This window comes from Homo sapiens, chromosome 7 (genome assembly GCF_000001405.40).
Source record: "Homo sapiens chromosome 7, GRCh38.p14 Primary Assembly".
NCBI classification, from domain to species: Eukaryota; Metazoa; Chordata; class Mammalia; order Primates; family Hominidae; genus Homo; species Homo sapiens.
This window is the reverse complement of record NC_000007.14, coordinates 70,775,338-70,794,665: the sequence shown is the minus strand read 5'-3', so window position 1 is coordinate 70,794,665 and position 19,328 is coordinate 70,775,338. Positions and strand designations below refer to the sequence as shown.

The 19,328-nt window shown below is 45.7% G+C and overlaps 1 protein-coding gene across 28 annotated transcripts in view; it reads right to left on the bottom strand.

Annotated features, from left to right (window-relative positions):
• Positions 1,160–19,328, bottom strand: part of AUTS2 (activator of transcription and developmental regulator AUTS2) — a 1,195,032-nt gene continuing 1,176,863 nt past the window's right edge. For 23 of the 28 annotated variants that reach the window (XM_011516010.3, XM_011516013.3, NM_015570.4 and 20 more), the window contains 7 exons: positions 19,280–19,309; positions 17,492–17,563; positions 12,910–13,051; positions 9,647–9,724; positions 8,628–8,711; positions 7,235–7,457; positions 1,160–4,918 (listed from right to left, as the gene is read on the bottom strand). In XM_011516010.3, coding sequence (XP_011514312.1) covers positions 3,670–4,918; positions 7,235–7,457; positions 8,628–8,711; positions 9,647–9,724; positions 12,910–13,051; positions 17,492–17,563; positions 19,280–19,309 — 1,878 coding nt within the window. In that variant the 3' untranslated portion in view covers positions 1,160–3,669. The remainder of the gene's footprint in view (positions 4,919–7,234; positions 7,458–8,627; positions 8,712–9,646; positions 9,725–12,909; positions 13,052–17,491; positions 17,564–19,279; positions 19,310–19,328) is intronic. The other 5 variants (XM_011516014.3, XM_047420157.1, XM_047420161.1 and 2 more) reach the window with 1 other exon arrangement.

Here is a 19,328-nt window from a genome sequence, read left to right as displayed (position 1 = left end):
TAGGGAACAGAACAAGACTCAGTCTCAAAAAACAAACAAACAAACAAACAAAAAAAATCAGAAATGCACAGAAAAAAAGGATGGCAGAATTTAAAAAATAACATATGAAAAAGCCCAGGTTACATTTGTTATCCTCTTTCCTTCAACCGATTGATGCCACTGAGGCCTAGTTTGTTTTCCAGCATGAATACACACAAGGCCTTGGGCACCCCACAAGTGCACAGCTACCTGCACTGCAAAATTCTGTCTTCAACTTCTTTTATGCTACGTATGTAAAGAATGTCAACAATTGCGTCTTATTTCCCCTCATCTACCTTGATTGAGGCAGAAAAATGGATAAACAGCAAATGCCGTGGCAAATATCCATCCAAAGTGGTTAATTATTGCATCATTATATTCGCTATTTTACCTGTCATGTACCATTAGAAGGTAACAAGATCATTGTCAGTCAAAGATGGGGGAGATAATTAGAGCATCTATAGGTTAGCAGGAAATCAAATTGGTGCTGGTACCCATCAGTGCCGAGGAGCTGAGCGTAATTAGGGGGAAAATATGCAAAGGGTGAGATGAATGAAGCCCTGGGGATTAGATACCGTGGCTGATTTGAGAGCTTGACTCTCCTACGTTCTGACATTGCAGATGGCGACGTCAAAATAGGTGTACAATTGGAGCAGTGAAAAATAGCAAAGCAAGGCGCCACTGCTACTGTCTGCAGGGGCCTGAGAAGTGCCTGATGTGGAAAAACACAGTGTTTATCGTGTTTTCCAATCCACTGGGTTTTTCTTCCTTATTTTTTCCAGTTTGGAGTCAGTTATTAACGTAGGAAAACAGGGCTGTGTGAAATGGGCTTTTATTCAAGAAGTCACTGCTCTGCCCAGATTAGCGGATGTCTGCAACCGGACCGACTTCTCAGTGCCCTTTTCTCGCCCTGGACTGACTTTTCCAGTGCCTTGGATGCACTTCTCAGATGCCCCTGTGAAACCACGGGAGTCCACAGCACTCGCCAACCACAGATCTGCCCCCCCGCTAATTTCTGAACATTTCTATTCTGATTCCCATTCAGCAGCTACCCAGATCTTGCTAACTTGAACTGCTTTTACTTTTTCCCTAGTAACATACAAACACCCATGCAAATAATCTCATCCAAATAGCAATTTCATCAGGTCGGTATAAGAAAATTTAACATTTTTTTGTTTTTTTAACATCATGGAAAAAAACAAAACAGATTTTAGAGGACAGGGAGACTGCAAACTGATGAGGACTACACCACGTAATTAAAAGAGAGAAAAAGCTAAGACAGGAAAAAAAAATCTGGAAGGTCTTAAGTAACATATGACTGACCGAGTCCACAGATTGAAATGCAATACAACGAGCAAGCAAAAACTGTTGTCACAGGCCCTAGGTCAGAATTCTCATCACTGCTGGAAAAGCAAACACTTTCGCTGAGTTTTGAAGTAGCCAGGCACAAACAACTGGCTAACGTGGCCCACACTGTACACACGTCTACAAAATCCAGAAGTACCTTTTACAGTATCTTGGACATACGAAAAACTAACAGAACCCCCCCTCCTCAAAAAACAAACCACAAGCGACTGTGTGGGGTGCAAATGTTTATAGTAACAAATTGGTGAGACACTAACCGAGTTGGGTAGGGTGGTCAGCCACTGCAGGTGAGCCTTCTGTTCTTACACGGGCTGGGTTCGAGGTGTTTCTTTTCAAGAGCCCGGTCTTGTACAGGTATGGCTTCTTCCCTAAGGTAATGATGGTCACCTCACACAAACAAGCAGCTGGAAGCTTAGTTCACATTTTTTAATAACATGGCACAGTTTACATTACACAAGAAGGCTCCGCCGATGAGAACATGCTGAAGATTCAGTTGCTTCACTTTTCTTTTCACATAGGATCTAGAAAGGACTTTATTACATACAGGATAAACAGCAAAAAGGTCCGTATAGAACAATCTCTTTACAATACTGAAAGCTACCACTACAGTTCCAGTGTACATATTCCTTGCATTTTTTTTAGTTGTTGTCTTAAAAAAAAAAAAAAACACCGCACAACATCTGGAGTTCACAAAATCTGAAGCTCACAACTAAACCTTCAGTTTACTACTAAAATAGATCTCTCTGCTTATTAGAAACAATGGTCTGTAGTTAACTTTTTTTTTTTTTTTTTTTTGCAAAAACAGGATAACAACGTCAGATAGCACTTTAATATACTAGAAGACCAAATGGAACTAATTTTATTTCATACATATATTTTACAGTCCAGTAGACAAGATATATTGTATTTCTCTGCTAGTAAAGTCATATTCTCTCCAAATATGTAGACAAGAGGCTTAATGTATTATAAAAGTATTATGAAGAGACATTAAGATTGATGCAAACTCAAAAAACACACTCACACACAAGACTTTTTTTTCTGCCATCTTTCACCCTCTAACTCGCGATGGCTCCACAAGGTTGACCTGTTACGGCTGTTCCCAGACTTGATCACCAGCTGGAATACAGTGCGTCACATCAGGAAACGTGCACCTTACATCCGTCAGTTATTGAATACAGTGAAAACATATCCATCATCTGAGAAAACTTGAAGCTTTCTTTCAGGATCTGTTTGGGTGTAAGTAAATCTCATTACAAAACGAGGAAGTGTGTACAGGTATGAAATAGGACACACTAAAAAAGGCATGGTTCTCACATGAGGTGTGTGTGAAGTCACTGGCGACCTGTGTGTGTCTGACAGACACCACCACCCGTCCCCTGATTTTGGCATCTGGCAAATCCCACCCTCCCTGGCACTGGTTGCTCATGTCCTCAGTTACCTCTCCGGGGCTACACTTTCCCCCAGAGCCCACAAGCGGCAACTTCAGATGCTAAGTTCCAGCCTGGGGTCCAATTTGCAAAACAGGATGTTTCTCCGTTTGAAAAAAAACAAGCAAGGAAAACAGAGTCATATCACGTAAGCGCTTGTTCAGGGAAAATATGACCTTAAGTATGCTGTAAATGGATTTGAAAAGGCTCCTTTGAGTTAGGCGGGCTTTTGTGAAAAGCCCGAACATTCATTGCATAGTTGAAGGGTTTAGCTGTCTATAACAATATATGGGAACACAGCTTTAGCCGACTGTGTTCACTGATATTAAGTAAGTTTGCAAATAGCACATTTTAAGAAGTATTAATGTATTATGTTACTTTATCTATTTACATTTGTACAAAGTAAAGCTTTCATCTTACCCTTTTGCATATATGAACCATTAGCTCATGAAGCAATCTCTTTTTACATAACTATGTACACGGCCTTCCCACCTCATCTGAAAGAATTTTGCATGATGGATGGCGTGGACTTCTCCCCCCCACCGCCCCCGCTACAATTATCATCCAATTGGTGTGTGTTGTCATCTTCACTGTTTTGGTTCAAATCAAAAAGTTTTATACGAGAAACAAAAAGTAGGAGACGTGAGAACATATGACTGGGCTAAAAGATCTGAAAAATCTCAACATATAATATACAAAACATTTCAAAATGTGCACTGAGTCTATACATTTTTTACAAGGGGAAGGGGTGGGGCTTTCCCCCCCAGTCTGTGTGAGCCATGCAGGAGTTCTGTCTCTCAAGCCTGGCCTGGTGTCTGCCTAGGGTTTCTTCTTCCTCGTTCTTGCTCCTGTTCTCGGCTTATCGGGCCTCGATATCCTTCAGCGTGTGGGAAGGGGGCCTCTCCCTTATCTCTGCGGACAGAGGAGTCGTCCTTCTGGGAGAGACCGGGCGGCCCCCCAGCGTGGAGATGAGCGGGGGAGGTGCGCTCAGCGCTGCTGTCGGAGGGGTCTTGTTGAGGAGTCCGTTCTGGTTGCCCGCGGTGGGGCTGATGCGGGGATAGTGCATGCTGGGGAGTCCCGGGGTGATGAGGCTGGGGTGGGGGAGGTGTCCGTCGAGGGAGGCGGGGTGCACGGAGTGGAGCCGCGTGTGCTCGTAGTCTTCTCTGAGCATGTGCAAGCGCTCCCGCTCGTCCAGGTGGCCTCCCCGCTCGTGCTCCCGCCGAGGGTCCACAGACAGCGGGTGGTGGTGGTGGTGGTGGTGGTGGCTGTAGTCGTGAGGCTCCCGGTCCCTGAAGGAGCGGTCGGCTTCGTACAGCCGGGGAGTCGAGAGCCGGTGGAGCGGGTCGTTCCTTAGCAGGAAGTCCCTGCCCAGCGGGTCTCTCCGGTGAATGTCAAGTTCTCGGTAAGGATCCCTCAAGGGGTCCCGGATGGGGTCCCAGTGGAAAGAAGGGTACGGGAAGCGCTCTCCGCCCGGGAGGGGGCTGATGCCCATGAAGGGGGTCATCATGCGAGTCCTGTCCAGGCTGCTGATGCTGTTCATGGGGTGAATGCCCGTCACCCCCACCGTCATGGGCATCGAGGCCAGGGGCCCCGGGTGCACGCTGGACGAGGAGTTGGGAGGCGGCGGCTCCGAGGCCCGGTGGGTCTGCGGGGCCTCTGGAGGCAGGTCATGGTCTTCCTTCCGCTCCTCCTTCACCTTGACCTCGGAGCTCTTCTTGGGGTTCTCGTAGGCCGGCTCACCCTTGCGCGGCTCGGCCTCCCGGCTCGAGGTGCTGTTGGGCCTGGCACTCTCCACCACCGGGGTCCGCACGTAGGGAGACGGCACCCGGGCCAGCTGCTTGGCCTCTTCGCCCGCGGCGCGCCCCTCGTGGCCGTGCCCGTCCTTCTCGGGCAGGTGGCCCTCTTTCGCCTTGTGCTCGTCGGCGGCCAGGTCCTTGCGGGATTCCGAGTGGTCTCTCTCCCTCTCTTTGGGTTTGTCCTTCTCCCGAGCCTCAGTGTTCAGATGAGCCCGGATCTGTTCAGTGGAGCTGCGGGTATGTCCCAGGGCATTCACCGGGAGGACAGGTGCTGGTGAAGGGTGGCTGGAGTGTCTCTTCTCGACGCTTTCCCTGGGGGAGAGAGGGGAAGACAAGGACGCAGATGAAATGAAAGGGGCGAGTCGGCCGGGCCAGGGGCTGCGGGTGAAATGGTGGTGTGAAGAGGACAGGCTGGGGGCTGCTTCCCATGGTCGCCAAGGCAGCAGCCGTGCCCTGGACAGGGCAGAGCCAGCCACCCTTATCCTACTTACCTAGATTTTAGAGGAAGCTTAATGGGGGAGATGGACCAGGGATGAGGGTGAGGGGGAGTCTGCTGGGAGCAAGAATCTCTCTGCATGTTAAGAGCCTCAACCAAGAGCACAGAAGAAGAGCTTCCAGAAAGCCAAGATGGCTGCATGTGGTCAATAAGGCAATGATGTGGCAATCCAGCCCGACTGTCTGGACTCCCGGGATCATCTAGTGTAAAGAATCACGTTTTAAGAGCCCAACGCCCAGTATCACTTTTCTTCCAACTTTGCAACACTGAACCAGTGGAAGAAAGGGTTCAACATCAGTGTCACAGAAGTCTCTTGCTCCTTACAAGGACAAGTGACCAGTTTCAGAGCAAAGAACGTGGATACAGAGCCATCTCCAAGACACAGCACGTGAGAAAGGCTCAAAAGGAAGCCACAGTTGGAGGACTTTTGGGTTGCAAAGAGCACTTGTGCACCAGATGGGATAAGAAAGCCAAAGTCTGATGAGAAGACGGAGGGAAGGCAGTAGGAAAAGCAGGTCCCTAAACACGAAACCTCATGGGGACATTGAAAACAATTTTAGAGAGCAGCTGTGAGTGAAAACACGAGACAAGAATTTTAGAGACCTGTCTTGGATGGGGGCTCAAGAGTATTGGGCAGAAAATGCAAAAACAAATGGAATGACAATAAGGTAAAACTTGAGTTAAAACTAAGACCAGGCAGGTCTTACGGATGGTGCCAAGACAGATATGGCAAAGTTGAGGAGAGCAGCAGGCTGCCATGCTGGCTTGGTGCTGGTGTGCAAGGATCAGAGGACCACAGAGTATTCAGGAGGCTCCCCTATAAGGGCTGTTTCTTGCCCACATGCAGAGAAGAAGAATAACTTTTAAGGGAAGGATGGAAGAAGAGTATATTTTATTTATTAAGCTTCCTGACTTTAATCCAAGAGGCCATTTTGACGCCATCCAGAAAAACACGCAAAGGGCTGGTGGCCACATCCTGCATTGCACCTAGTGACAGGCTGTGTACAGAGAGCTCGCGGCCTAGGGTCGGCCAGGTTATGTTGCTAGGCGTGCCTCATTTTGGCAGTTCACAGCTCAGAGATGAATGTCATAAACATTCCTCCCAGTGGTTAAGAGATTGTTATCATACTGCCTTGAAGGAAAATTTGTTTTTCTTTTATCAGTCAGCATGATGGCCTCTGATGAGTATCTACTAATCTGCCCCATTTAGAGCCTGCAAAGTTGAATTCTTTCTTTGAAATTACTAGGATATACACACACACATACATACACGGTATACAAAGAAAAGAAACATTAAAGATTCGGATCAAATTTGAATCTTAAATACTGCAAGGAAATTGGGATTAGGTATTTTCTGTCAAGCATATTTGTGCATTCCTTATCAGTTCATTTAAAGTGAAAATAAATAGCCTAAAGAAAGAAAAAAAAAAAGACATTTTTGTCAAGAATGCGTTACGATATTCTTTGGAAAAAAAACTCCAAGACATTCCCTGTTTAACGCTACTTTTTTTTTTAGGCATGGGTTACCAAGTGCAGAGACAACGGTTAACAAAATTATCCACTAGTGAAACCAAAACCAAACCAAAACTGCTTGTCGACGTTTCTCTACATCTATGTGAGTAAAATTTTATTAGTCATCTGTGAGCCCCAGGCTTTGAGTTTGAACAAAATTTGAGAAAAATATGATGAGGCAATGCAAACATGGCTTTCTAAAAGAAAACAAAAAGAGGAAAAGAGCGAGAAAAACCTATGGATGGTTAAATGGACTGCACGGACTTGAAAGCAAATATGGAATTGATTCATGCTGTGTGTGTCTGGCCCGAAGCTCCAACTCCCTGTCTTCTAGAGAAAGACTTCTGTTTGGACACGCTAACAGGGACTTGGGACGTGCTGATGTATAACTGCGACTGAGACAGGAATCTGTCGCTAGCTCTGCTATCTCCTACGGTCACCATATGCTATGGGCCATGGGGACTGCGAGGGGCTGCGGGCACTGGCTGTGGGGAGGAGCTGAGGCTACCGGGGCGGCTAAAGCACGAGGCTGGGACAGGGAGGGTGGGCGGCCAGTTCCACTGGTACTTGGCATAGAGCAGGCTCCCCCGTGGGGACTCGAGAGCGGTTTCTTTCCGTACCTTTCTTTGTCATCTTTACTAACAGATGAGTCTCGTTTATCTACATCTCTATCTCTGTCATGAGCTGCAGCGGACGCGCTGCGCTCCAGCTCCCCTGGCTTCAGCCAGGGCGGAGGGGTCGGGAACGACGGAGGCGTTCGGTGCAGCCGGTTCCAGGGTTCGTGAGGGTTGCTAAAGTTCTGCACACTGGGGCCATCCTTGTGGCCGAACATTGAGTTGGGTGCTGAAATGGTGAAGTGGAGAACAAAAAGGTTTAAGAGAAATTATATAATCTGCTGTAATGAAGGTACTTACCAAAAAACTTTTAACAGCATTCAGAGTTAAAATGAATACATATTATTGGGAGCTGGAAAAGGAAAGGAGATTAACAAATTCATTAGAGGAAGTCTTGTCCTACACTGGAGAGGTAGCTCACAGCTTTTTTTTTTCTTTTTAAAACCAAAAGCAAAGGTGGGGACAGGGGAAGTTAAAAAGGAAAAGGGACCAAATGGGTACTGAGATGACCTAATTCAACGTATCTGGTGCATGCAGAAGTTCCAGGCATGCAGAAGGGTGTGTTATGATGGTGGGATTTGGATTAACAATTCTAAATTGATTCACAGTAGAAGTCACTGTCTCCTCTACCCACCGTGGCCCTCTCAAGTGTCACCAGAGACCAGACAGGACCTTGCCCTCACCAGACACACAGGTCTCCTTCCTGTGTTTTAAATAAAGACCGACCTGTGACGGTATGCTCAGAGACACGTTTTAGCTCTTCCTGTACCCGGAATATATGGTATGTAGCATGAAAGAAAATAATTTGCATATTCAGCGACTAAACACTAATGTTTAGAACGTGAGATGGGGTTGTAATTCTTCTCCTAATCGAGATGGGCTTTTTTAATAGTAGAAAGCTGCAGAGTCCTCCTAGATGATGGAGAATAAAATGGTGCCAAATCTTGATTATCCCAAGCCTGGTGGTGTCGCAGCCTGGTGGTGTCTTCCTGCTATTTTTCATTGTGCTTTTTTCAATTCCACGAATGCCACGGGCAAGATGAAATGTAACAATTGCTGTAACTATTGCTTTCACTTGTAATGTGAGCTGCAGCCAAAATCTTGGAGAGCAGAGATGGGATGTGGATGAAACTCCGCACTTGAGTAAACTTTCTGTGGTCATCAACTACACTGCCGTTCCTGCCCCTCAGAACTGGATAGCCACAGGGGGCTGCCCTCACAGTGGTGGCTCTGCACACTTCCACCTCACCCCACTGTGAAGGCCTGCTTTTGCAGTGATATAACCTACACTGGTCCCCCCAGAGCATAGTTTCCTTTTCTCTAGAAAGGTCTTGAGCCATATGCGGATCACAGGAGATAAAAAGTCCAAGGCAGATTTTTAAAAGTTAGAGGTACTCACTAACGGAAGGATTTCCAAGTCCCCCGAAGGCATTGCCACCAACTGCTGCTAGGCCTGTGAATGTAGACGGCCGATTAAAAGGCTCTGCAAACAAGATGGGGAAGAAGGAAATGGTCAGGGGCTCTGCTGGGAGAGGAACCCAGAGCTTCCTGGGAGCAGGGCGATGCGGGATCCCTGCCCTCTCTACGCCCCCACCTGGCCTGTCCCACTTTTCCTACCAGATGGTGTAAAAGGTTTTCATTACACTTGGATTTAGGCACTGGGTTAGCAAAATATTTCTGAGGACTCTTCTTCTACAACTGTGTATTTTGTATTACTCTTCCTTTGCCCAGTGGGGACACTACTCAAGCTAGGATGTACTAACTTGCCTTCCCGCCCAGTCTCGCCTCTGCCAGGAATGCACTCTGCAGATTCTAACAGAACAGAAAGGAGGTGGCATCTGAATCCATGATGAAACTCTGAGGGCGTGCCTATGATATGCCCTGATGTTGTGCAAGCCAATGCCTGAATCTGCCTGTACACTTGCAGATGGGATCGAATACACAAAGGCCACACAAAGCATGCACCTTTATTAGGAAGAGACTCATTTATCGGGGCAGTGAGATGTAGAATAACTCCTCTCCATAACGTCAGCTTGTGTTTCTTTCCGCTTCCTAGAGGTGACCTTTGCTATGGGGCAAGAGCTCACCATCTTCTTCCAATGGGCAGGAACAGGCTGTTGTAAACTCGGATTCCCTGAGATACCAAGGAATGGCTCTCACCCACTGCACCATGGGAAGTTCAGGCAGAACCACTGCCGAGCACAGCTCTACTACCGAAAGAATGCGGTGTAAGAGATGAAATCTGGAAGCTGGACGGGATGTACTGAAACTCCTAAGAGAGCACCATCTCCTGCCTAAATGGTAAGCAGGGTATCTGGGACTCCCACCAGCTTGCCCGGAGGTGCAGCGGGAGCATGGTAAACACAGCAGGGTTGCCTGAAGCACACATCTCAGTTCCCATTATTTTGGGCGACTCACCTAGGTGGGCAGCAGGGTTGAGGAAGTTGCTGTGATGAGGAGGTGGCCCAAAAGGGGTCCCAGTTGGGTGTGCAGCACCTGTTAAGTCAAACATAACGAAACCAGAGTTTACAAAAAGCCAACTTCGAAGATGCAACCGGCTTCTACTTGCTTAAGGGCCCCGTGAGAAAATATGTTCAAGGGAGGTCATGGCTGAAGTCCACCCAGGCCCCTGCAGGCAAGACACAGGGTAAAAGAAAATGTGTGTTTTTTTTTTTTTTTTTTTTTTTTTTTTTTTAGGAAGCAGAAAATCAATCATCCCTCTTTCTCTTTCCCAGCGTGGCTGGCCACCACCAAAAACAGGTATTTCTTTTTTAAGCCGATGACACACAGTATTACAAAGACAGAGATAACTGCCCTGGGTCATGGGAGGAGGGGAGGCTTTATAACCAAGTAAATTTGGAGAAATACTGGATTAAAAAAAGCTAAGCAAGTTTCTTTACTGAAGGGCTTCTTAGAGCCATTAATAAGCTTATTAATAAGCTTATAGGCTCCTTCGTTCTCTAAGAGGGGAACATTTCATCATGGAATCCACTCCTCATAGAGCATCTCGGAGGACCAAGTTTTCACTTTGAGAAACACTTCCAGAAACCCAGCCCGTTATCATCTCTGGCTCAGGAGGGGTGGTCCTGAAGCTGTGGTTCTTGGCTACGCTGCTCTGGGGACTTGCAGAATCCCTTCTCCTGAAGAGTATGTTAGTTCGCATGCACCCACATCGAAGGATACTATAAGACCCGACTCTATAAAACTCATTATTGTGAGCTCAATTAGGTTTTAGGAGATGAAGTCCTCTGATGTCTCTCAACTTTCAATGCCAGGAAAAGCTGGTTGATTCTTATGTTTTGGGGCACTGAAAATCTTATAACTGACTCTGACAGGTTTTTGCTTTGCCTGCCAGGGAACTCAGGTCTAATTTAGTGGTTTCCTTCAGTTGTCCCTTGATCCACATTTCCTCCTCTTCTCTGTATTTTGCCTAATGTGTACTTCTTGAAGATGCCTCTATTCCTGTTCCTGAAGGAAGCCAGGAAAGGAAGGAAGGAAGGAGACAGAGAAAGAGAGTGTGCAAATGTGAATTAGGGAAGGACATTTCTAAAGGCCTTAGGGCACCAAATGGGCTTGTTAATACGAGGCTACTTACTAGCTAAGGAGGCTAGCTTCCTGGAAGGCAGGCTTTGTCCTAGACGAGAGATTTGCCAGGGTCATCTGAAGAAGTCTCTAGTTTATATTCATGGGATTAGCACCCAATAGCAAGATGAAAATGGCTGGATTTCTTAAGTATGTACAAGTTATACACATCAGTTACAAGGTTCACCAAATAACTATTTTGGGCAGAATCCCATACTGCTTATGCTAAAGAAGGTTACATTCTAGAATGGAAGTATAAACAAGGCCTGGATAAAGAATTTACTAAAAACTGTTCCATAATCCTTTGCATTTTGTCTAAGTTCCTATAAACAAATATAAATTCCCTTAGGAAAATGGATTAAACGTAGGGGTTGTTGCTGTCTACACTCTGTTAACTCGATTTATGTTTTGGACTGCTGTTCCCTGGGCTGCAAAAGTCTTGTGGCCTGGGTTTGGAGAGGAAGCCACTCAGTACAGGAGGAACATCATCCCCGTCACAGTAGTTCGGAATTGGAAGACACCTGAGGAGTTATCTATTCAGCCCTGCATACTGGCTTATTTTCCACCTGGGAAGTGTAAAAATGATACCCCGCCTCCACCAAGTGAATATATTCCAGAATATTCATCAGGCCGTTAGCAGTGTTGTCAGCTAAATAAAATTTTGGCCACATACTGTCTGTGTAGTGCAAGCTAATTAATGCTTCAATGAAGACCAGAGCTTTGCTGAGCCCAGGGCCCCCAGGGGTGCCTTGCAGTTCCAGAATTATTGAAGCAAAAGAAGCCAATTCATCCACTTGGCTCAAATGGAAGCCAGAGAGAAATCTATTCTTTCCAAAAATTGCTCTTCATGTAGCCCTGTCTCAGAGCCTAGGTGCCATGGTAACAGAGCCTTCAAATATGTCCCCAGACAGCACTGACAGAGAAAAACCTGAGACCTTAGCAAATTCCATCTACCCTCCAGGGGGACGCACTTGCTTTGGTAGCTAAGGCCCATTATAATGATGATTTCTTGCAGTGTGGGTGCTTCTCTCTTCCTGAACAGAAGAGCCAGAGGTCCACCAACAGTGAGTCTTGGATAAAAGCCTGGGGTGGCAGCTGGCAGGATGGCTGTAAGACTTGTCTCGTAAGGATCAGAAATGGGGAGCCCCTTGACTGCTTACGTCCAGAAGAATAAATTCTACTTAGCATAGTGGGTATGAAGTTATTAGCAGAATGAGCTCAGTGCCATCATTTTTAAGTGTTAACTGAGCTGAGCTCTGTGTGCCAGAAATTACACTTAAAAAAGCTTTAGAGAAGACAGAATGACAAGAAACCCTTAATACCAAGAGGGCTGTTCTCATCCAGCACACACACAGTCCTTACAGCCGCTGTCTTTTGTTTGTACCTGGAGCAGGAATGAGCATAATCGTCACTCTCTACCTCACCCCTTCCACACGCACACTTGACAGTGTGTATTCTCAGAGGTTAAATGAATTACAGATCCGATGAGCAGGTCACTTGGGTGTTTACACCGTTTCCTAAATTTCTTCCACCGCTATAACCAACCAGGCAATAGTATTACGTTTTGTAGCAGAGAAAACCAGCAACCGAGTGGCCCAACCTCCCTATCACAGACCATACTCCTGGCAACTGCCTTAATCGCCTTTCTTTATCCTCAGGACTTTAAAACACGGCATGACTGAGCATCCCGGTGCAAAATTACAGTGCTCTGCGGGCACCGTATTAAGGGCGACCGCATCCTTCTATAATTCCTGGCATTGTTTCCTTCCGATCTGCCCTTGCAAGCCTTCAGATCTTTCTCAATAGCAACTGACATGCTTGTGAGTTATACTGGTTTAATATAGAAGCAAATAATGAACCGAAGCAATGTGAATCCCTGTAAGGGAAAGATGATCTCTGCCTCCTCCTTTAATGAAAGAGAGTGTATCAATGAAGATTCCCAACTCCCTGGATGTGCTGCGATGTTGCCTTGCAAGCTGGCATTAACTGTATTTTTGTAGGTGGTGACTGAGCGGCAGCTCAGAGCCCAAACCTCATTTATTTAGTTACCTGAGAACTACATTTCTCAGCTCTGTCCCCCCACCCAAACCCACACTCACCAGCGGCAGAGAACAAAGTTGAAGGCCGTGCCAGGTCATGGGGGTGGTGGATGGCTCCAAAAAGACTGGGGCCTGGAGGGCGGCTCAGGAACTCAGGTTTCAGTCCAAAGTCCAGCTTATGTGGGTCTGACTGCATCTGTTTCTACACAGCAAGGGGAACAGTAAGGGTCCCAAGGCCAACAGCAAGGAATAAAGGTGTTAGTGAAGAGCTGGAGCTGGAGACTGTGAACGGTGCACTTGGGTTCAAGTTTACAAACACTGTGAGAGAAAGCAGCTACACAAAAACCATTTCACCCTCAAATGTCAGATCTGCAGGCCGGTAGTGCCTGTTACACCAGAAATGTCTAGTGACAACACTAGTGTTTGGTCTGGTTTTTTTTTTTTTTTTTTTTGTGACGGAGTCTCCCTCACTCTGCTTTCCAGGCTGGAGTGCAGTGGTGGGATCTCGGCTCACTACAACCTCCACCTCCTGGGTTCAAATGCTTCTCCTGCCTCAGCCTCCCAAGTAGCTGGGATTACAGGTGCCTCCCAGAATGCTCAGTTAATTTTTGTATTTTTTGTCGATATGGGGTTTCACCATGTTGGCCAGGCTGGTCTCAAACTCCTGACCTCAAGTGATCCGCCCATCTCGGTCTCCCAAAGTGCTAGGATTACAGGTGTGAGCCACCGCACCCAGCTATGTTTGGTCTTCAAGGTTAATGGCTTGAGAAATAAAACCATATCCTATTTATGGAGACTGCCACCACTCCCAAAGTAGTTCAGTGTTTTGCTGTAAAGGCCCATTTTAGTAAGGTTTAAAATAATAGTGTCTTAAAGCTCATTTTATTAGGAATTCTGCATGAACAATCTGCTGTATAAATTAATTGTTTGTTTAATGACTCTTTGCCATACTCTAATAGCTCACAGTACATTAGTAACCAAAAGTTATGAAGAAATATTTGCATGTCTATAAGCTAACTTTCAAATGATCACTGTTATATAACAATAACAAAGAAAAACAAAGTAGGAGTATTAATTTAACTAACAGAGGCCCTTTCTCTTCCTACTACCTGTAATTACCTGAGGAAGGTTGGGGGAGGGCAGTGTCCATCCAGACAAGTAAACCATAATCCCAGCGCTTTGGGAGGCCAAGGCGGGCGGACTGCCTGAGCTCAGGAGTTGAAGGGCAGCCTGGGCAACATGGTGAAACCCTGTCTCTACTAAAATACAAAAGATCAGCCAGGCGTGGTGGTGCACGCCTGTCGTCCCAGCTACTGGGGAGGCTGAGGCACGAGAATTGCTTGAACCTAGGAGGCGGAGGTTGCTGTGACCGAGGCTGTCTCCAAAAAAAAAAAACAAACTCTTGTGTGAAGTCCTTATCATGGACAGAAATCACTCTGTTTTGTCTTATTTATCTATCCTCAGGCTAATCTTTCCGCCTACCATCCTCTTAGGCAGTAGAAATTGGGTCTTAATCTTCCTCTCAATCTTTTCCCCTGGCATCCTTCTCTAGGCTGGAGGCCCTTGCACCAGCATGGTTTCAAAGCTGCCCCACCTCCTTGTTTCTTGACAGCTTTCTCTTTGAACTGGCTTCACACTGCCTTGGATAAGCACTGCTCCCAAGGCATGGGGTCCTGGGACTTGAAGCTTCTAGTTGAATTTCCCTTGCTATGACCTCTTCCCCATCAGTCTCCTGGGTTTTCACTGCCCTTAGTACCTGCTTCTGACTTTCACTCTTTTTTTTTTTTTTTAAAGAGATGAGATAGATAGGGTCTCGCTCTTTTGCCCAGACTGAAATGCAGTGGCACAATCATAGTTCACTGCATCCTCTTGCCTTAGTCTCCTGAGTAGCTGGGACTACAGATCCATGTCACCATGCCCAGCTAATGTTTTTTCATTTTGGTAGAGACAGGTCTCTCTCTCTATGTTGCCCAGGCTGGTCTTGAACTCCTGGGCTCAAGCGATCCCAAAGTGCTTGCCTTGGCTTCCCAAAGTGCTTGGATTAGAGGAGTGAGCCATCGTGCCTGGCTACTCTTCTGATCTCCCGGACTCATCTGATGCTCTCAGCCCCTTTAGCCCCATTCTAGCCTCAGCTCAATCTCCCTCATGTCCTGAGGGATCCTTGCCCTGCTGTACAACAGCAAAGCCCCATGAGGGGGCATCTATATTGACAGAGCATGGCGTGAGGATCTGAGACAGGGAAGTCTGCTGTTCTCTTACTGCTGACGGCAACGTCCCACTCACCCATCACCCCTACTGAAAGCAAAAGCTACCCGTGCACCTCCAGCTGGAAATGACACCACCCATTAAGAGGGCACACACACTTTCCTCACTTTTTACACACAACTGATCCTCATTACTGAACTCTAAGCAACTAGACGCCAGGAAGGATGCATGCCCCCAGCCCGCCACAGTAAGGAACCTGCAGGCGTAGGCTCTTTCAATAAACACTGGGTGAACGACTAAAAGAATGCGTAAATGAACGTTACAGAGAGAGGGAAGATGTAATTTCTGCTCAAATCTACAGGGAATGCTATAATGAAAGTCCCAGTATCGAGTAATAGCCAAGCCTCAAAACCAAGCTTCTAATTCACTATGAATCTATAAAATTCTTTTGAATACCTCCTTTAATTTGGTGGCCAAATTATTTAGTGCTAATATTGCATGGTACATAGCACAGTTCCATTAACCACAACTTAGGGCCATGAAGCAAAATGGAGCTTGGGGATTACAAGCAGTTTGCTGAAAAGGGAAGATGAACGAAGTTATCTCATGTTCAAGAGGTCTTTCTAATTGAATTGGGATAATGAAAGTTTAAGTCACTGGGGACACTTTTATGGGAAAGAAGTTGCTAAAGTGGCACGTGCAACATCCCTCATCTCTTTTAACCAAAGAAGTTACAAGGAAGATGTGCTTTACCTACCGTTCCACTAACCACATCAACCAGAACAAAAACTGAATTGAACTAATCATCAAAATCTAGTTAGCTCTTCAAAGCACACACATTTTCTAAGATAGACCACAAGGCTTCCAATTAAACTTCCCCTAACAATAAAGTACAAATGAGCCAAACTCACTGATGGCATGTTATAAGAAAGAGCAGGTATCTGACAACCAAAGCAAAATATCTTAGTGACCTCATTTACTGAGGTTTGCATCTTAAAACTTTTAACCGGGTTTTTATTTTTTACTCTTTTTTTTTTTTTAGAGATGAGATCTTGCTATGTTGCCCAGGCTGGACTCAAACTCCCAGGCTCAAGGGGTTCTCCTGCCTCAGCCTCTAGAGTGACTGGAACTTGGGTTGTTTTATTTTAAAAATCACGTAACCCTTTTAAAAACATGTCTCTTCTGTGATGAAGAGCTCTATCTATCTCCTGGCTCATTGGTCTCCTGTATTTCTTTCATGAGAACTCCCAAATGCTGTTAGGACTAAAAGCTTGTTCATGAAGAAATGGATTAAGTGAAGCTTATTGGAGTTACTTGATTGCTTGTTTGCTCCCATTTTTGCAGGCATCGTAACATAGCCTATAAATACCCAGACTGTAAAATACAGACTTGTCAGTTACTTTGTTCCCTAAGCCAAGCGCTGATGCTGTATCCAGGGACTTGCAGAAGTTCTTGATCTCTCCCCTACTGAGTCATAAAGGCTCTAGCAGAACATGGAATATGTTCATCCCTATGATGAAAATATAGACAAAAAGGAAAAATCGTCTTTGGACAGCGAGGTAACTAGCCAGAACGTGGCTCCTGCAAGTACTGACTGTATTCCAATCCCTGGCACTGACCATCAGGAGGACCAATGACAGTTCAGCGGCATCATCTTCATATAGGGCACACATGACTCTACCATTTTCCCACAGCCATAAAATGAAAAGAATGCACCAGTCACTATTTTTACAAAAACCCAAACCCAACATTCATTTGTAGCTCTTCCCAGATGCAGAGTATTTTCTGTATTCTAATTCTTGGTCACTATAATTTTATTTCCAAAAGCTTTATTTTAGCATTTAATCCATATTCAAGACCTTTGGATCAATAAAATGACAAAATTATAAAGGGAACAAAACCCTGGGGCATTATCAGTTTGCTTTTGTTTTGTAATTTCACTAGTGGTTTCCCTAATTAACAGTAAGATTTCTGAGCTGGCTGCTGTGACTTGCACTGTAATCCCAGCTACTTGGGAGGCTCAGGTGGGAGAACTGCTTGGGGCCAGGAGTCTGAGACCAGCCTGGGCAACACAGTGAGACCCCTATCTATCTCTACAAAAACAACAATCAAGAAATTAGCCAAGTATGGTGGTATATGCCTAAAGTCCCAGCTGCTTGGGAGACTGAGGTGGGAGGATCACATGAGCCCAGGAATTCAAGGCTGTGGTGAGCTATGATTGTCCCCTTGTACTCCAGCCTGGGCAACAGAGTGAGACCCTGACTCTAGGAAAAAATAAGTAAGACTTCTGAGTAGCTTTTCCAAGAGAGGCTTGATCCTTCCTAACTATGGGTCTGTAAAATGTGTTTTAAATGCCTCCTTCATCAGGTTCTCCCGAGCACGTCACACACTCACATGTGCATCCCATTCTTCCCTACACCACGAAGGTCGGACTGACCTTGACTTTCTGTTGGTGGTGGTAAATCTGCCAGGCGATGTGAACATGCATAGCACACCACTTCCCTGGTTTCTGGAACAAGAAAGAGCAACGTGGTTAGGAGGAAGACATTTCAGAGAAAACCACCTTCAATTTCCCCAAAGCTTTCAGCAGATTTTGGCTGCAGAGGCTTTTTTCGTGAAACAAGAGTGCTTTGTACTCTCCAAGTGCCTTCCATCAGTAGCTCTCCAGCGCCCAGTCATAAGGGAGTCACAGCCAGCTCCCCCTCTCTCCCCACGTGGGTTTGCTACTCAGAAAACCACATTGACAAGGGCCTCCCCGGTTACCAAGGACAAGACGGCAAAAGCCTGAATCCCACTCTGTGCCTCTTCTCTTTCTTTTCTGCTGCCAGCTGGCAGACCTGGTAGAGTGGGAAGCCCTACTTAACAAATGTTGCCATGCTATAATGCAAATCAGCTGTTCAGAAGAGCTCATTAGTGAATGTCTGTGAGTCAAATCAAAATAAGAGAGGGTACAGAACCTGTCCTAACCTCCCCCAAGACCGTGGTGGTTTTTATTTTAACCCCCAAAGTGGTACAAAGAAATTCACATTTTGATTGAAGCCCAGTTACCGTAAATGCTAAGAGTCAACTACCCATTCGTGTTGGTGGGCGCTGTTCCTAAGTTTAAAGAAAGAAACAAAGAGAAGAATATTCCTTCCTTCCTGTTCTCTATCTAGGCCTCTGCAGATCTCAAGTCCATCCTCCACCCTCTGGGGTTGAATTTGAATCCACATCTCCCCAATTATTTCATGTCTTGCTTTATAAGGAGTGGAGTGCTGTGAGTGTATTCTCTTCTACCAGTCAGCGGGCAGGGACCACCTTTTCACTTCATTTCTGCTAAGTAATCTACCCATAAGCTCGGCGTGCGCGCTCAGTGACTACTGGACAGATGAGAAGAAAACACAGCCTCATTCTACATCGGCGAAGAACAGAAGCTTCTGGTTTCTACAGTATGGAGTTAGTTCCGAAAATATATACTTAAATGCAAGTCTGGGTCAGTTCTCTTCTCTTGCAATGAAATTATGGGTAGTTTGAAATCACAAATAATATACTGCCTCACCTAAGTGATGACACAATTCTCCTTTTTCCCCTGGAGAAATCAAATTATCTGATTATGTGCCCTAGAAATGAGTTATGCATAGCAAGAAATCTGCTGTCCATCCATCTTCTGTCCAACAATTCATCATGTCTGTCTTACCCCCAACCACCAGGATTCATTTAGAGGTCATCACACTGGCCAGTCTCCAGACCTCGAGAACAATTTGCTTTAAGCAAGATGTTAACAAACCAGATGCTTATAGTACCTCCTTCCTGCACCTTAAAAGGAGGTCAAACGGCTATGGCAAGTCAATGTCACTTACTACAGAAAGAGGGAGCCACCAGCCAAAATAAATGGACCCAGCTACATATTTTCTAAGTGCAAGAGAGACTAACTTCAGCCTATAGCTTCAGTCTTTCCCCTTAAGTTCCAACTAGTCAAACCTTTTACCAGAACTGCTAACAAGAGATCGGACTCGTTGACTTTTCTCTGTTGTAGAGATAAAAAAAAAAAGCCAATGGCCTCCAACGGTCAAAGCAAAACAGTTTAGGCCATTTTCAATCACACTATCTGAAAAACCCAATCACCGTCATTCCAATGTCTTATTCCAACATTTCTATGGCTTATTTCCTTGTAATAGACTTGTATTTTTAACCCACAGGGAGTCAAATAGAGGTTGCAAAACAGTTCTATAAGAAGCTTTCTTACCCTTAACATAGGTCTGAAAGGATCTGTCAACTGTGAAGAGAAAATGACA